Source organism: Homo sapiens, chromosome 1, assembly GCF_000001405.40.
Source record: "Homo sapiens chromosome 1, GRCh38.p14 Primary Assembly".
NCBI classification, from domain to species: domain Eukaryota; kingdom Metazoa; phylum Chordata; class Mammalia; order Primates; family Hominidae; genus Homo; species Homo sapiens.
In genome coordinates this window covers 23,089,812-23,105,760 of record NC_000001.11, presented here as the reverse complement: position 1 = coordinate 23,105,760, position 15,949 = coordinate 23,089,812, and the positions used below count along the sequence as shown (strand labels likewise).

The following is a 15,949-nucleotide window of genomic DNA, read 5'->3' as shown; positions in this document are numbered from 1 at the left end:
TTTTTGAACATCAATTTGGATGAAGATATAGAAAAGACATGCCTATGAGACTTAAATAGCGAATGTTTGCAGGCTAGACAGTGTAGAGAATATTTAGTCAAGGGATTGAAACTAAGAAGTTGAAATCCAAAAATAATAAATAATAATTTAAGCTGAAACTTACATGACACTTACTATAGACCAGGTACTAGTCTAAGCAATTCTTGCATTAACTTATTTACACATACCATAACCTTATAGGTATTGAAGCATAGAGAATTCAAATGACTTATCCAAGGTCACACAGCTAGTAGCTAATAAAGTCAGGGTTTGAACTTAGGCTGCCTGGCTTCAGAGTTCGTAAACTTTAATCATTGTATCACGTTGCCTGCAAAAGAATTAAGCCCCATATTTCAATTATTAAAAATGAGATTTAACAGTTTATTTGGAAACAAAGCCAGTATGAACCTACAAATTGGTACTGTGGCTATCAGATTCGTTCATGCAATCTTGGACTTCATTATTAGAACTGGGCAGACCAGGTCATCTTTCATCCATCCCACCCTTTTACCCCATTGCTACTGTCCTGGTTCAGGCCCTTATCCCATCTCTTGCCTTGACTATTACAATAGCACCCTAGTTTATCCTGCTAGAATGGCCTTTCAAAAACTGCAGTTCTGATTGTGTTACTCTCTTACTTAATCCCTTTGTCCAATACAGGTTGCAAATTTGCTTCCCATATCCACTTGCAGGCATGTATGTTTTGGAGGGACTATACAGTGGTATTCTTTTTATTTCCTCTTTTTTGAAATCTGAATTCATTGGCTACATTTAAGAGATTATATATAAAAGTAGGGCATAGCCCCTCTTAGCCATAGTCCTTCTAGGCCCTTTAACTCATTTAAATCATTGGCCTGATCTCTTTGGCACCTGCATTTCAGCCTCTGGCATAAAGGCTAAGCATCTTTCCTAGAATGTAGTGCCTAGATCTGAAAATAGTCCCCTTTATGTAAATTTGGCCAGTACAGAATACAATAAAACTATTACATTAATTTATTTACAAAACATTTATAAGGTTCCTACCTTGCCCCTGTCACTGTATTCAGTGCCCAGGACTGAAAAATGAAGATAACACAGTCCCTGCTCTCAGAGCCCAGCAGAGGATGACAGATATTTTAAGTATCATGGATATAGTGATAGAAGCATCTACAGAATTTAGGATGGTGCATTTCTCTTGCGGGGAAGGATGGTTTGAAAAGGCCTCAGAGAACAGATGCATTAAAAGATGTTTACCATTGGGCCAGGCGTGGTGGCTCACACCTGTAATCCCAGCACTTTGGGAGGCCGAGGCTTGTGGATCACTTGAGGTCAGGAGTTCAAGACCAGTGTTGGCAACATAGTGAAACCTGTCTCTACTAAAAATAGAAAAATTAGCTGGGCGTGGTGGCGCACACCTGTAATCCCAGCTACTCGGGAGGCTGAGGCAGTTCTCGAGAATCCCTTGAACCCAGCAAACGAAGGTTGCAGTGAGCTGAGATCGTGCCTCTTCACTCCAACCTGGACGATGGAACGAGATTCCGTCTCAAAAAAAAAAAAAGAAAAAGAAAAAAAGATGTTTACCATCGGAATGGCTGTGGGTTGTGGGGGCTTGGAAGGAAAGGAGATAAGGGAATGTTCCTCAAACAGTACACCCTCAGCCTCTGAACTTACTGTGACATTTCAGGGGCCTCAAACCTACCACAGAGACCTTACCAGTTAATTGCTCTTCCCCTTGTGTCTCTGGTGTCAGCCATGCTGAATTAAATTCCCCGAATACAGCATTGTTTTGTTAGCTTGTTCACTCCCTCCCTCCTTCCCCCCCTCCCTCCCTCCTTCCCCCCTCCCTCCCTCTCTCCCTCTCTCCCTCCCTCCCTCCCTCCCTCCCTCCCTCCCTCCCTCCCTCTCTCCCTCTCTTCCTCCCTCCCTCCTTCCCAATAAACAACTATATTATACTCTTTATGTACTAGGCACTGTTCAAGGGGCGGGGAATACAGCAATAAAAAAATTACAAACACAAAAAACTACACTTCTGACCTCATGCATCCTACTTTCTGGTAAGAAGAATCAATGTAAATAAATTTACAAGTAATCAGGTGGTTAAATGTGCCAAGAAGAAAAATAAGTAGGGTATCTTACCTTAGAGCTGTCCAAAGATGGAGTGAGTTGTCTTGGGAGGAAGTGACTGTCATTCTTGTCATTAGAAGTGTTTGAACGGAAGCTGAGTAACTACTTGCTAGATAACGTCCGCATTGAGTGGGAGGTTGGACTAGATGATCTCTAAATCCTTTCCAACATGAAGAATCTCTGTATGCTAGCTGGGTCCCTCACTCTTGAGTTTGCGTATCCAAAATACATGAATTTGTGATTCTGGGAAAAATAATGTAAGCCCTGTAATTAGATAGAAATGTGCAAGAGTTGATGGTGAGGCTTAGACAGCCTAAGATTTTAAAACAGGTAACTACAAGTGGTCAGGAGGAAGCTGCTTGAAAATAGCTCTTGGCCAGGGGCGGTGGCTCGCGTCTGTAATCCCAGTACTTTAGAAGGCTCGAAGGGCGAAGTGGGAGGATGGCTTGAGTCCAGGAGTTTGGGACCAGCCTGGTCAGCATAGAGACCCCTTCTCTACAAAAAAAAAAAATGAGAAAAATTAGCCAGGCATGGTGGCATGTGTCTGAGTCCCAGCTGCTTGGGAGACTTAAGGTGGGAGGATTGCTTGAGGCTAGAAGGTAGAAGCTGCAGTGAGCTGTGATTGCTCCACTGCATGACAGCCTGGTAGACCCTGTCTCAATAAAAAAAGAAATGAAATCAAATGAAATGAAATGAAAAATGAAATGAAATGAAATATAAAATAAAATAAAAGCTCCTATTATCCTTTAGATCAGAGATTGGCAAATTCTGGCAGACAGGCCCACTGTCTTTTGCTTTTTAAATTTTTAATGGTTTATTTAAGTAGAGACAGGGTCTTGCAGTATTGCCAAGACTGGCCTTGAACTCCTGGCCTCAAGCAATCCTCCCCGCTCATCTTACCAAAGTGCTGGGATTACAGGCATGAGCTACCATGCCCTGCCCACTGCCTGTTTTTTTAAATCAAGTTTAATTGAAACATAGTTATGTTCATTCACTTCTGTACAGTATATATGTGGTTGCTTCATCACTACATTGTCAGAGTTCAGTAGCTGGAATAGAAACCTTAGATCCTATAAAGCCTAAAATATTTACTCTCAAACTAAGTTTGCATACTTATGTGTATACTATCAAACTTTTTAAAAAAAAGTTTGCCGACCCCTCTTTAAATGACTATTGGGAACAGGAAGTGAATCATGGCAGCTGTGTTGGGAGAAGGGGCAGGGCAGGCCTGATTATGTTCTATTTCAGACCTTCCTGATCTGCCAGGACAGGAAGAAGAGCCACCCTCCAAAATGCTGGATGGGGCCACTTGGAACTGGGTTCAGGAACTTTGATAGAAAGAGCCCTGAATGAGAGACAGTTGGCACTGTATGTTGCTAGCGTGAATTAGAACTGAGCCAGGTACTAATGTAGGGGTGGCATGAAAAGTGAGACTGTCCTTCCCTTTGTAAAAACCTTCTTATGGTTTCCCAAGGTTTAATATAAACAGTTTCCTTCCCAGACCCCACCCTTAGGCACATTTAATCACTTCTTCTGAGCTTCCGGTTATATGTATGATGATACAATATGCTAAGGAAAAAAAAAAGCAGGATAGAAGACAGGATGCAAAAGGGTGGGTGCTATCTTATGTAAGATGGTCAGGGAAGGCTTCTTTATCATAGTTTTATGATTGGTTATATCTGTATGATTCCTTAAAGGCAAGGGTAAGATTTTCTACTTATCTTGGCAAAATGCTGGGTGCATCATAGGTGTTCTATAAATGTCTGCTAAATAAATGAATTTTGCCTGGATAAACATACTTAACACAGAGTAAGGGAGGCAGTAGAAAGAGAGGTGTCTACTTTGCTTTTGGATGATCCAGGAGGTAGCAAAGCATTTCTTATCCTGGCTACTTAGGGCCAAAAGGTCAGAGATAAGTGACCTCCTAACCCCATTTTCAGTCTAGTTCCTTGTTTACTCTGGGGAGAAGGGATGATCTTAGTGAATCACTATTTTTAGGAGGATTTTCCCTGATGAAACTTACTTTAGGTATGCATAGGACTTTTCAAAGTGCTTTTGCTAACTTTATTGCATAGTGTTGCTGTAAGGTAGTTGATATTCTTTTATTTTTTCAGAGGAACTAAAGCATAGAGAAAATCAGTGACTTGGCCAAACAGTATGGTATTCTTAAAAGAATATAAACTTTGGAATTGGACCTAGATTCACTCTGACTGTCCTTGCTAGCTGCGTACTTTGGGAAAATTTGAGAGTCCTTGCCCCATAAGGTTATTGTGAAAGCTGAATAGAATAATAGTAGTAGCTTACTGTTTGTTGTGACTTATGTGCAAGGTATTCTGCTAAGCATTTTACATGTCCAGGGATTACCATATTGTTTTTGTGTGGACATTGAGGGAAAACCTCCGTGGAGTAACGTAGGAACATGTAAAGTAAATGATCTGAGATTCCTGATACCTGCAGAAATCATGTATATAAGGTACTTAGTATTGCCTGTAGTATAGTACTGCCCTATTTGTGGTTGTACTTATTTGTTCCTTTATACTCTTTTGTCATTGTTAGTTTGTTTATAGAGTAGTGCTTAGAACTCCTCATTTTGTAAAAATGCTTAAGAGTTTATAAGGAGGTGATTTTGCATAATGGGAAGAATCCTGAACATAGAGTCAGGAGACTGAAGTCCTTGACTTTTGCTAAACTGCTGGAAAAAGCACAGTATTTACTTCTGAGTCCGTTTCCTTGTTTCTAAAATAAGGGGTTTGAATGAAGTAAGTGATTTTATTTTAAATAAAAGCTATGTAGAATTCTTTAATAAAGTCATATAGGAGAAGCCCAATATTGTAAGAAGCTAAAAATCAGTTGCTTTGGTTGAGTAAGTGAAAGGAGCCTGGAGTTCAGCCTGCTCAAAATATCTCCCCTGTTGTCTTTCCCCTAAATGACCCCAAGGGGATTTGCTGAGTCTAGTTTGAAAACCAGTTGACTAAATGATCTTTAGCTACCTTCTGGCTCTGAAATCTCATTCTGAGGAGTGGAGGAAGATCCAGAAATGTTTTCTACTACTTCTCCAACATTTGGTCCGATAACTAGAGCTGAACATCCTGTGAGTGTTGTGGTTTTTTGATGTCTATGTCCTGTTTGTGTGGCATAGACCTGCAAGAAAGGGCTTCCCAGCAGGTCAGGGGGAGAGAATTGTGGTTGAGACATTGTGCAAGTGGCACAGGGCTAGGGATGAGATCATTCAGAGCATTACCACAGGGCCTGAGATTCTGTGCTGTCTGTTCACTCTTGCCATCTGTTTTCTCCTTTGTAATCCATGATTAGGTCATGGACATTCTTATTATTTTCTGTTAATGGTCATTGCCAAAGGGCCGACAAGCTATTTGATAATTAGGAGGCTCACTCATCAGTCAAATTCATCGAATTTTCAGCATTCCCTGTGTGCTAGGCTCCCTGCTGGGTACTGAGAATATAGTGGTGACACAAGTTGGAGAGAAGAATTGAGTAAATAAAGCTGCAATAGAGTGTGATAGGTTCTGTGATGGGAAATATGTAGCAGACTGTGAAAGCAAAAAAGAGAGGCCCAGATCTGGCCTGGGGTTTGAAGAAGGCACTCCAGAATTTTCCAGAAGGATGTATTGTCTAAAGTGGGATCTGAAGAAATGAGAAGGAATCAAACTAGTGAGGGACCAGAGGGAAGAGGGAGGGCGAGGATGTAGATGAAGAGGCTGGCGGGGCCACATCATGAAGGGCTTTGGGTGCCATCATGGGGAATTTGGACTTTATCCTAATAGTAGCCAGGACCTTTAGAGAGTTTTAAGCAGTGGTGTGTAATACCTGCTTTCTCTGTATGTTTCCAGTAAGTATTTGCTACATATTTACTGGGTTTAGCTTTTTCATTGCCTGTACTAGTTGATTCATATCATCCAGAGTCTTGATAAAACATATAAAATTGGCACTAAAAGCCAAATAAATAAAACGGTGGTATAATTCCCAGACTCTCTGAATTCAGAATTATGATAATTTATAGATGGGGCTATACTAAGGTTTAACGTTTCCTTCTTTTGAAAAAGAGATTGTGAAAACTATAGTATAAGCTAGTACAAATAAGATGTGCTGAGAGAATGCTACAGTTTGAGGATAAGCTGGGTTTTCTTTAACAGCTTTATTGAGATATGCTTTATTTATCATGAAGTTTATCTCTTTAAAATACACAATTTAATGGTTTAAGCATATTTATGAGGATATGCTGTTTTAAAGCACTTTATAGATGAATCATATATCATTTGTCTTCCAATGACTACGATGGCAACACAGACCCTTTGTATCATACACTCATTTAAAATTGGTGTGTGGTCTAAACTTAATTAAGTCCTCCCAAACCAACCCTGTGTATACATTGACAAGATTTTAATTGTACCACTGGGCAGAAGGCCAAATGCAAGAGTTTTTAAAAGGGAAAAGCTTTCTTTTTAAAAACATAAACTATAGGAGGTTTTTTCCCTCTCCGTTTTTGAGAATGAGGAAGCAGGTAGGCTGGGGAAAGGAGAAGGGGGACCAAAAGAGGCAAAGATGAGAGGACAGAGAAAGATGTACCCAGAGAAGCAGAGTGATGGACAGGGAGCAGTATTCGGGGTGGGCAGAATCTGAATGGAAGCGGAAGGCTTGGTTTTTTCAACACCTTCAAGCGTTGGTGTTTTTGAGGAGCTGAGCTTGGGCTCCATCTGGTGGTTCTAGGCTTATAGTGCAGCCATTAGAAGAATCAGGCTTGGAGAGAATTGGCATTTGGCGTCTCCTCCAGGCCCAATTTCAGTTGTTTTTCTTTTGCCCTGAGCTTTCTCATAGGATCATTGTTGGAGTCATTTCTTCCCTCTCCAGTGGTGGCTGTTTTTCTCTTATGTCTCAGACTGTTTCTTCACTCTTGTCCTTGATTTTTAAATGTGATCTTATTGGACGACATCACCTAATACTCTATCGTTGCTGCCGTCTGTCGACGCCCTGAGTCACTGCCCCTAACTTCTCAACAACTTCAGATTCTGTCTTAACGTCACTCTTTCCAGCATTATTCCTGTTAATTTATGGCGCTTACATGCTGGTGACCCTTGCAACACCTTTACCTCTCAATTATTTCTCTCTTCTAATGATCTTGTTCTCTACTTCTCCCTACTCCCCCACAGGATTCCTATGATTATACCTTCGTTTTTGACATTATCAATAACTACAGTCCCTCCATGATTTCAATTCCTTGAAGTCCCTCTCTGATTTCTTTCTTCTATATTTCAGGCTTAGTTTCCTCTGGTACCTGGTACCCTTACTCCAACAAGCCTTCAAGTCCCCTTGGGACCTTCACTTCATTAGTTTCTATTATATTTTCACTATTCTTCACCTCCTTCTGTACTGAGTGAATTTAAAGTCCCTCACACACATCCTCTGCTCTCCTGTCCTTCTTTTGCTTTGTTCTGCAGTGCTTCGATCTGGTTCAGTCCAATTCTGGTTTCTCTATTCTTTTGTCTGTTCAGCCAGCTGAACAAGACTGGAGAAAAAGAACTTTGTGGATTGGTTTCACTTTAAATCATTACCAGGAATTTCAAGTGGGCCCTTATACATCTAATATACATCTCATACACATGTCCCAAATGAGACTCCTCATCTTCCTTCTCAGACTGCTCCATCTGCGGTCATCTCCATTTGAATTGATGGTAATGCTGTCCCTCTACAAATTCAGCCCAGCCACCTTAGAGTCTACCTTAATTCCTATCTATCTATCTGTCTATCTGCTTATTTATTTAGAGATAGGGTCTTGCTCTGTCACCCTGGCTGGAGTACAGTGGCACAGTCATAGCTCACTGGAACCTTAAACTCCTGGGCTCAAGCTGTCTTCTTGCCTCAGCCTACCAAGTAGCTGGGACTACAGGTGTATGCCACTGTACCTTCTAATTTTATTTTATTTTACCTTTTTTTATAGAGACGGGATCTTACTGTGTTGTGCCCAGGCTGGTGTTGAACTCCACCTCAGCTTCTCAAAGTGCTGGGATTATAGATATGAGTCATTGCACTCGGCTTCTTAATTCCTTTCTTTGCCTCATGCTTCACATGTAGTCTAAGAGCAGATCTTTTGGTCGTGCCTTCATACGGCCAGAATTCTGACCATTTCTCAACTGTCTTGGTCACGTGCTCTTGGAACGCATGTACTGCCACCATCCTGGTCTAGGCCATAACTATGTTTTGCCTGGATTACTGCAATAGCCTCCTATTTGGTCTTCCTGCTCCCAACCTTATCCCCTGTAGTCCATTCTACTTGCCACCTACTTAAAAGTTTCTGCTGAGAAGTGGTTCAGTTGTTATTATAGATTGTTTTTGTGTTTGGGATGTTTTTGCTTCCTCCAAAATTCGTGTTGAAACGTAACCCCCAGTGCAACAGCATTAAGAGGTAGGACCTTTAAGGAGATAGTATTAGGGATCAGCACCTTTAAAAAAGGGCCTGAGGGAGCAAGTTCAACCCTTTTTGTTCCATTCCTTCTTCCCTGTGAGGAAACAGCATTCTAGGTGTCATCTTGGAAGCAGAGACTGGGCCTTCAGCAGACACTAAACCTGCTGGTGCCTTGATCTTATATTCCCAGGCTCCAGAACTGTGAGGAAATAATTTCTGTTCTTTTTGGAGATGGTGTCTTGCTCTGTCGACCAGGCTGGAGTGCAGTGGCGCGATCTCAGCTCACTGCAGCCTCCGTCCCGTGGGTTCAGGCAATTATCGTGCCCCAGCCTCCCAAGTAGCTGGGATTATAGGTGTGCACCACCACACCTGGCTAATTTTTGTATTTTTAGTAGAGATGGGGTCTCATCATGTTGTTCAGGCTGGTCTTGAACTCCTGACCTCAAGTGATCCTCCTGCCTCAGCCTCCTAAAATGTTGGGATTACAGGCGTGAGCCACCGCACCTGGCCAGTTTCTGTTCTTATAAATTACTACCTCAGGTATTTTATTACAGCAGCACAAATGGACTGAGACAATGGTCTTTTTTTCTTTTTTCTTTTTAAAGATTTTCTGTTTGTGATACATTCTTCCGTATCCTTACGAGGATTTAGGATTCTTCCGATCCTAAATCCTAGGTGCAGATTTAGTTTTCTCCTGTTGGGACATTGCTTCCTGAATGTGAGGTCCATATCTTTAATCAACTCTTGAAAATTCTTACCTGCTAGCTCTTCAAATATTGCCTGTTCCCTATTCTGTATTCTATCCTTTTGGGCTGCCTGTTAAAACTTCCTTGTTTTGGACCTTTTTAATTATTTCCCCATCTGTTAACCTCTCTTTTACCTTTTCCATCTTTTTAACTCTGTGCTGCTCTTTGTAATTACGTATCTCTCTTGACCACTATTAATATCTTCCTTTGCCTCTAATATGCCATTTCTCTTCTCTGTTTCTAGCTGTTGTATTTAGTTAACTTTCAGATCTTCTGATCTTTGTTGATAGCACCTTGTTCCTTTCTCCTGTTTTTTTTTTTTTTCATTCCTTCTTTTATGACTTTAAACATTGGAATGTACTTATTGTATGGTCTCTAGCCAATAATCTTAGTAACTTTGGTTCTTTTTTACTTGACTTGCTCTGCCCAGTCAAGTAAAAGATGGATCTTTATGTGTTTTGTAATTTTTAGTTATAAGCTCAGGTTCAGCTGGACTTTAATCTGTGGGAATCCTGTGTGACCTCTGTAGAGAGTGGCTCCCTCCAGAGTACTTTTGTTTGCTCAGCTAGGTTTCCCAGGGATATTACTAGGCTGATGGCCATTTTATGTTAGTTTCTCAGGACAGATAGGTTCTAGACCACTCAGATGGTATAAATTTGAACTCTGAATTCAAGTGAGAGCAGGTCTAAGATTATAAATTCTCTAGGGATAATCCTCCTTTAACCCCTAATAGAGCCCGGGTCCTCTTATCTCCCTATATCAGGGAGGTGACTTTTTTCACTAGTTATCCTGGAGCTGTAGTTCTTCAATAATCCTTGCTTTAGATTGGGGACTGGAGTCTCATTTTCAACTTACCACCTCTATTGAGCCCAAACTCTTGCCTCTTATACCTGCATGATTGTTAGAACCCAAACTCCTTGGTTCTGGAGATCGGCAAGACCCTAAGAAGGACAGCTCAGTGGTAGTTTAAACTTACTATTATTTTTCATTTAGTTTTCTTTTCCTCTGGTTTTAGCTGGAATGTCACTTACTTTCTATGTGATCAACTATACATTTTAAGTGATTGTTACATTTTATTCAGTATTTTTAGCTGTTTTATAGTATTAGAGGTTTTCCAGGTTATCTGGTTTGCTGTAGTGGTGGAAATGGAAGTCTGTTGTTTGCCTTTTAATTTCGTAGGACTTATTGTTCATGAAAGCTGTTTAAAATACATTTATCAATCCATTCTCCTGTTTTAAAAATGAGAAAATTACATAAAAAAACTAAACCTTCCCCTTTCTCTATTTCCTTGGGGTATTATTATATGTTTGGTATATATCCCCAGTGAAATGGCTTTCAAAGAAACAAACCAGTCTTCATACCAACCTTAACATCTGGGGCATTTCTTTTACAGTGCAAAAGGATATGTTTTGTAGAAGCTGCCTGTTGGCTGGGTCGGGCCAACTCACACCTGAATTCCACTTACAAATATACTTTTGGGAGAAGAGATGTTGAAAATGGGTGTAGAGAGATTGTTTTAGTATATTGTGAAGCTCACCATTTATAGCAAGGCAGAGGGTTAATTTGTATCACTTTTAAGTCACAATAGCTCATAAGAGATAATCTTTAAAAAAAAAAATCTTAGGATTGTTTATTGCTTTGTTACCAAGATCTTCCACATATTATCTCAGAACAACACTGGGGAGAAATACGGTAGACATCATTATGCCCATTTTACCACTAAGTAAAACTGAGACTTAGTTTCCATTGTTAATGACTCTCCTGAGATTATGCAGGTTGCAGATGGTAATGATGTTATTATACCCTGCCATGAAAATTGAGGCTTCTTATATGTCTTTTTGCCATGCTGCCACTGGTGACATTCTTTATTAGGGCGAAATGAGGTATCAACTCAATATCGGCCATAAAGAACCAGTGTTTTCTTGCAGGTTTATTCAAGTCATTCATTCAACAGGTTTGAGCCCCTGCTATGATCCAGGCACCAGGAACAGATAGGAGCACTTTTCTATAACTGGGAGCTAACGTGCAGGTTTTACATTTGCTGACTGACATGCTTTCTACTTTCCTTTTGTAGATTGATGATGGTCTCCAGCTGTCAAAGAAGATTGTGGTTGCCAAGAGAAAGGTAACCATTTCTCATCCCCTTGAGTGGAATTGGATGCCTCTAGGAGCCCACATTGGCTGGCAGTAGACATGGCCGAATTTACAAGCTACAAGGAGACGGCCTCCAGCCGCCACTTGCGGTTTAAGCTACAGAGTCTAAGCCGCCGCCTTGATGAGTTGGAGGAAGCCACAAAAAACCTCCAGAAAGCAGAGGATGAACTCCTGGATCTCCAGGACAAGGTGATTCAGGCAGAAGGTAGCAACTCCAGCATGTTGGCGGAGATTGAAGTGCTGCGCCAGCGGGTGCTGAGAATTGAAGGCAAAGACGAGGAAATTAAGAGAGCAGAGGATCTGTGTCGTCTGATGAAGGAGAAACTTGAAGAGGAAGAAAACCTCACCCGGGAGCTGAAATCTGAGATTGAGCGGCTTCAGAAACGAATGGCTGAATTAGAGAAGCTAGAAGAGGCCTTCAGCAGGAGTAAGAATGACTGTACCCAGCTGTGTCTGAGCCTGAATGAGGAGAGAAATCTGACCAAGAAAATCTCCTCTGAGCTGGAAATGCTCAGAGTCAAAGTGAAAGAACTAGAATCTTCTGAGGACCGCCTGGATAAAACTGAGCAGAGTTTAGCGTCAGAGTTAGAAAAGCTGAAATCATTAACTCTGAGCTTTGTAAGTGAGAGAAAATACTTGAATGAAAAGGAGAAAGAAAATGAGAAATTGATAAAAGAACTCACTCAAAAACTAGAGCAGAACAAAAAAATGAACCGAGATTATACAAGGAATGCTTCTAATCTGGAAAGAAATGACCTACGGATTGAGGATGGCATCTCTTCCACACTGCCGTCCAAAGAATCAAGAAGGAAGGGTGGTCTGGACTACCTAAAGCAGGTAGAGAATGAAACAAGAAACAAATCAGAAAATGAAAAGAACCGCAATCAGGAAGACAACAAAGTCAAAGACCTTAACCAAGAGATTGAGAAACTTAAGACACAAATCAAACACTTTGAATCGTTGGAAGAAGAGCTTAAGAAAATGAAGTCCAAAAATAACGACCTTCAGGATAATTACCTAAGTGAACAAAATAAAAACAAATTATTAGCCAGCCAACTGGAGGAGATAAAGCTACAAATCAAGAAACAGAAAGAGTTAGAAAATGGAGAGGTAGAAGGGGAAGATGCTTTCCTGTCCAGCAAAGGCAGACATGAGAGGACTAAGTTTAGAGGCCACGGAAGTGAAGCTTCTGTGTCCAAGCACACAGCGCGGGAACTGTCTCCTCAGCATAAGCGGGAACGACTCCGGAACAGGGAGTTTGCTCTCAACAATGAAAACTATTCTCTGAGCAACAGGCAGGTTTCTTCTCCCAGTTTCACCAACAGGAGGGCAGCAAAAGCTTCTCACATGGGGGTGAGTACAGACAGTGGGACTCAGGAGACAAAGAAAACTGAAGACCGGTTTGTACCCGGCTCCTCCCAGAGCGAAGGGAAGAAGTCTAGGGAGCAGCCCTCAGTGCTGAGTCGCTACCCCCCGGCTGCTCAGGAGCACAGTAAAGCGTGGAAGGGGACTTCCAAGCCAGGCACCGAGAGCGGACTGAAGGGAAAAGTGGAGAAGACAACACGAACGTTTAGTGACACCACCCATGGATCTGTTCCCAGTGACCCATTGGGTAGAGCTGACAAGGCTTCTGACACCTCCTCTGAGACTGTCTTTGGCAAGAGGGGACACGTGCTTGGCAACGGAAGTCAAGTAACTCAGGCTGCAAACTCTGGCTGTTCTAAGGCCATTGGAGCCCTGGCCTCATCTCGAAGATCCTCCTCAGAAGGGCTCTCTAAAGGCAAAAAGGCTGCCAATGGCCTTGAGGCTGATAACAGTTGCCCGAATTCCAAGGCTCCTGTTCTATCGAAGTATCCTTATAGCTGTAGAAGCCAAGAGAACATCCTTCAGGGATTTTCAACCTCACATAAAGAAGGGGTTAATCAACCTGCAGCAGTTGTGATGGAAGACAGCAGTCCGCATGAAGCCTTGAGGTGTCGAGTCATCAAATCCAGTGGCAGAGAGAAGCCAGACTCAGATGATGACTTGGACATAGCATCTCTTGTTACTGCCAAGTTGGTAAATACAACCATCACTCCAGAGCCAGAGCCCAAACCACAGCCTAACTCTAGAGAAAAGGCTAAAACCCGAGGGGCACCTAGAACCTCCCTATTTGAGAATGATAAAGATGCTGGAATGGAGAATGAATCTGTGAAATCTGTCAGAGCCTCCACCAATACCATGGAGCTCCCAGATACCAATGGTGCTGGGGTAAAAAGCCAAAGGCCCTTTAGCCCCAGAGAGGCGTTGCGGTCTAGAGCCATCATCAAACCTGTTATTGTTGATAAGGATGTGAAAAAAATCATGGGAGGATCTGGAACAGAGACTACGTTGGAGAAACAGAAACCCGTCTCCAAACCAGGGCCAAACAAAGTGACAAGTAGCATTACTATATATCCATCTGACAGCAGCAGCCCCAGAGCTGCTCCGGGTGAGGCCCTGAGGGAGAGGCACACATCCACTAGCAATATCCAGGTGGGGCTGGCAGAGCTCACATCAGTTAGCAACCATGTCAGCTCCCCTTTTGAGCTCTCCATTCACAAACATGACATCACCCTGCAGCTTGCAGAAGCGGAGAGAATGGCAGATGGGCCCCTGAAGGACAGGCCAGAAACAGTGGTCTCTCGGAGCAGCATTATAATCAAGCCATCGGATCCTGTGGAGAGGAATAGCCATGCACCTCCAGCGGAGACAATCAGGTGGAAAAGCCATAGTGCCCCTTCAGAAGTGGGCTTCTCAGATGCCAGACATGTTACTGTGCGGAATGCCTGGAAGAGTAGGCGAGACTTGAAATCTTTAGAAGACCCCCCAACTCGAATAGGTAAAAACGTGGAATCTACCAATAGCAATGCCTACACCCAGAGGTCTTCCACAGACTTCTCAGAACTCGAACAGCCCAGGTCCTGCCTTTTTGAGCAGGGCACTCGAAGGGTAGGACCAAGTTCAGGGGATGCCCCTGAGCCCTCCTCCAGAAGGACCCAAAGTAGCCTCACTGTGTCAGAGGTGCTTACCCGTCGGAATCGGGTAGGAGACACCATCACTGTCGCAGCCTGGAACCACTCAGCAAGCATGGTGAGTTCCAGCCTCTCTCCCCTCTCTCTTTTCTCCCTCCCTTTTCCTTCTTTGCCTTTTCCTTTTTCCCCTCTGCTCTGGCCTGTGTGACCCAGGATCTTGAGAACTGAGTAGAACTGGGTTCCTTAGAGAACTGTTGAAAAATCAGGGGGGTTTGACCTTTCTCCTAAAGAAGGTTTTTGGCAGCATCACTTTCCAAAATCCCTTTTCCAATTTGTTGTCTTCATTTTGCTCTCGTATATGAAGGTGACATAAAAAGGAAATCTGTCTTCTCTTCCCTTGGTTTGCCAGAGCAGCTAAAGGAGCTCCCCGTAGGCCCTCAGAACAGCATGAAAAGCACAAGAAGCAGCTGCAGCTGATGGGGAGCTCTGGGCAACAGGAGGAGGCCCGGTGCCCTTTCTGTAGGGCACAGTGAGGGGGAGCCAGGTCAGCAAGTTCTCGGCCGCCTCAGTTAGCAGATCTTCACAGGCTGCTGGCCTCTCAGGGATGAGGAGAGCCGGGGCTTACACTGGGCCTATTTTAGATAAGCGTATACCCAATTCCAAGTGACACTTTCTTTTGCCCCCCAGACAGCTGTCTGTCTCATATTATCAGTCTGAGGGCAGGGCTGGTTCAGTATAGCTCATTACAGCTTTGATAAATCCAGAACCACCTGCCTTATGTGAGTGTGAGGCTCAGGGTGTCAGAACAGCATCTGGAGAAGCCCCTGGGAGTGTCTTTTTGATGAGAAACCTGTGATGATGAAAAACTTCTTGGACCTGGACACAGTGCTCCCTTCTTTAAAAAAGCAGATGACTCTGTTAACTTGAAAAGCCCTGTGACTCTTTACAGGGTACTTAACACTGGACAAAAGTACTTCACTACCCACTATCTTATTCAGTCCCTTGAATATCTGCCTGGGGGCAGATATTATCCCCATTTTTCAGATGTAGAAGCTAAGGGTCAGAAACACAAAATATCTTACCTAAGGTCACCCAGCAGAATTACTGGAAGAGCGAAGACTTGAATCCAAGATTCCTGTCTCTAAATCCAATGCTCTTTCTACTCTAACCTTTCTTACTCATGCCTATGTTATTCTTTGATCTGCATTTGCTTGGGAGAACCAAGGAGAATATTAAAAAGGTAGAATTCTGGCCAGGCGTGGTGGCTCACACCTGTAATCCCAGCACTTTGGGAGGCCAAGGCAGGCGGATCACAAGGTCAGGAGTTCAAGACCAGCCTGGACAATATAGTGAAACCCCGTCTCTACTAAAAATACAAAATTAGCTGGGTGTGGTGGCACATGCCTGTAATCGCAGCTACTCAGGAGGCTGAGGCAGGAGAATCACTTGAACCCAGGAGGCGGAGGTTGCAGTGAGCCGAGATCGCACCATTGTAC

General features: G+C 42.8%; 1 protein-coding gene across 11 annotated transcripts in view; it reads left to right on the top strand.

Moving 5' to 3' along the window:
• LUZP1 (leucine zipper protein 1) overlaps positions 1-15,949 on the top strand; it is a 94,481-nt gene that overhangs the window by 72,362 nt on the left and 6,170 nt on the right. For all 11 annotated transcript variants that reach the window (XM_047429992.1, XM_047429993.1, NM_001395461.1 and 8 more), the window contains one exon: positions 11,381-14,571. In XM_047429992.1, coding sequence (XP_047285948.1) covers positions 11,500-14,571 — 3,072 coding nt within the window. In that variant the 5' untranslated portion in view covers positions 11,381-11,499. The remainder of the gene's footprint in view (positions 1-11,380; positions 14,572-15,949) is intronic.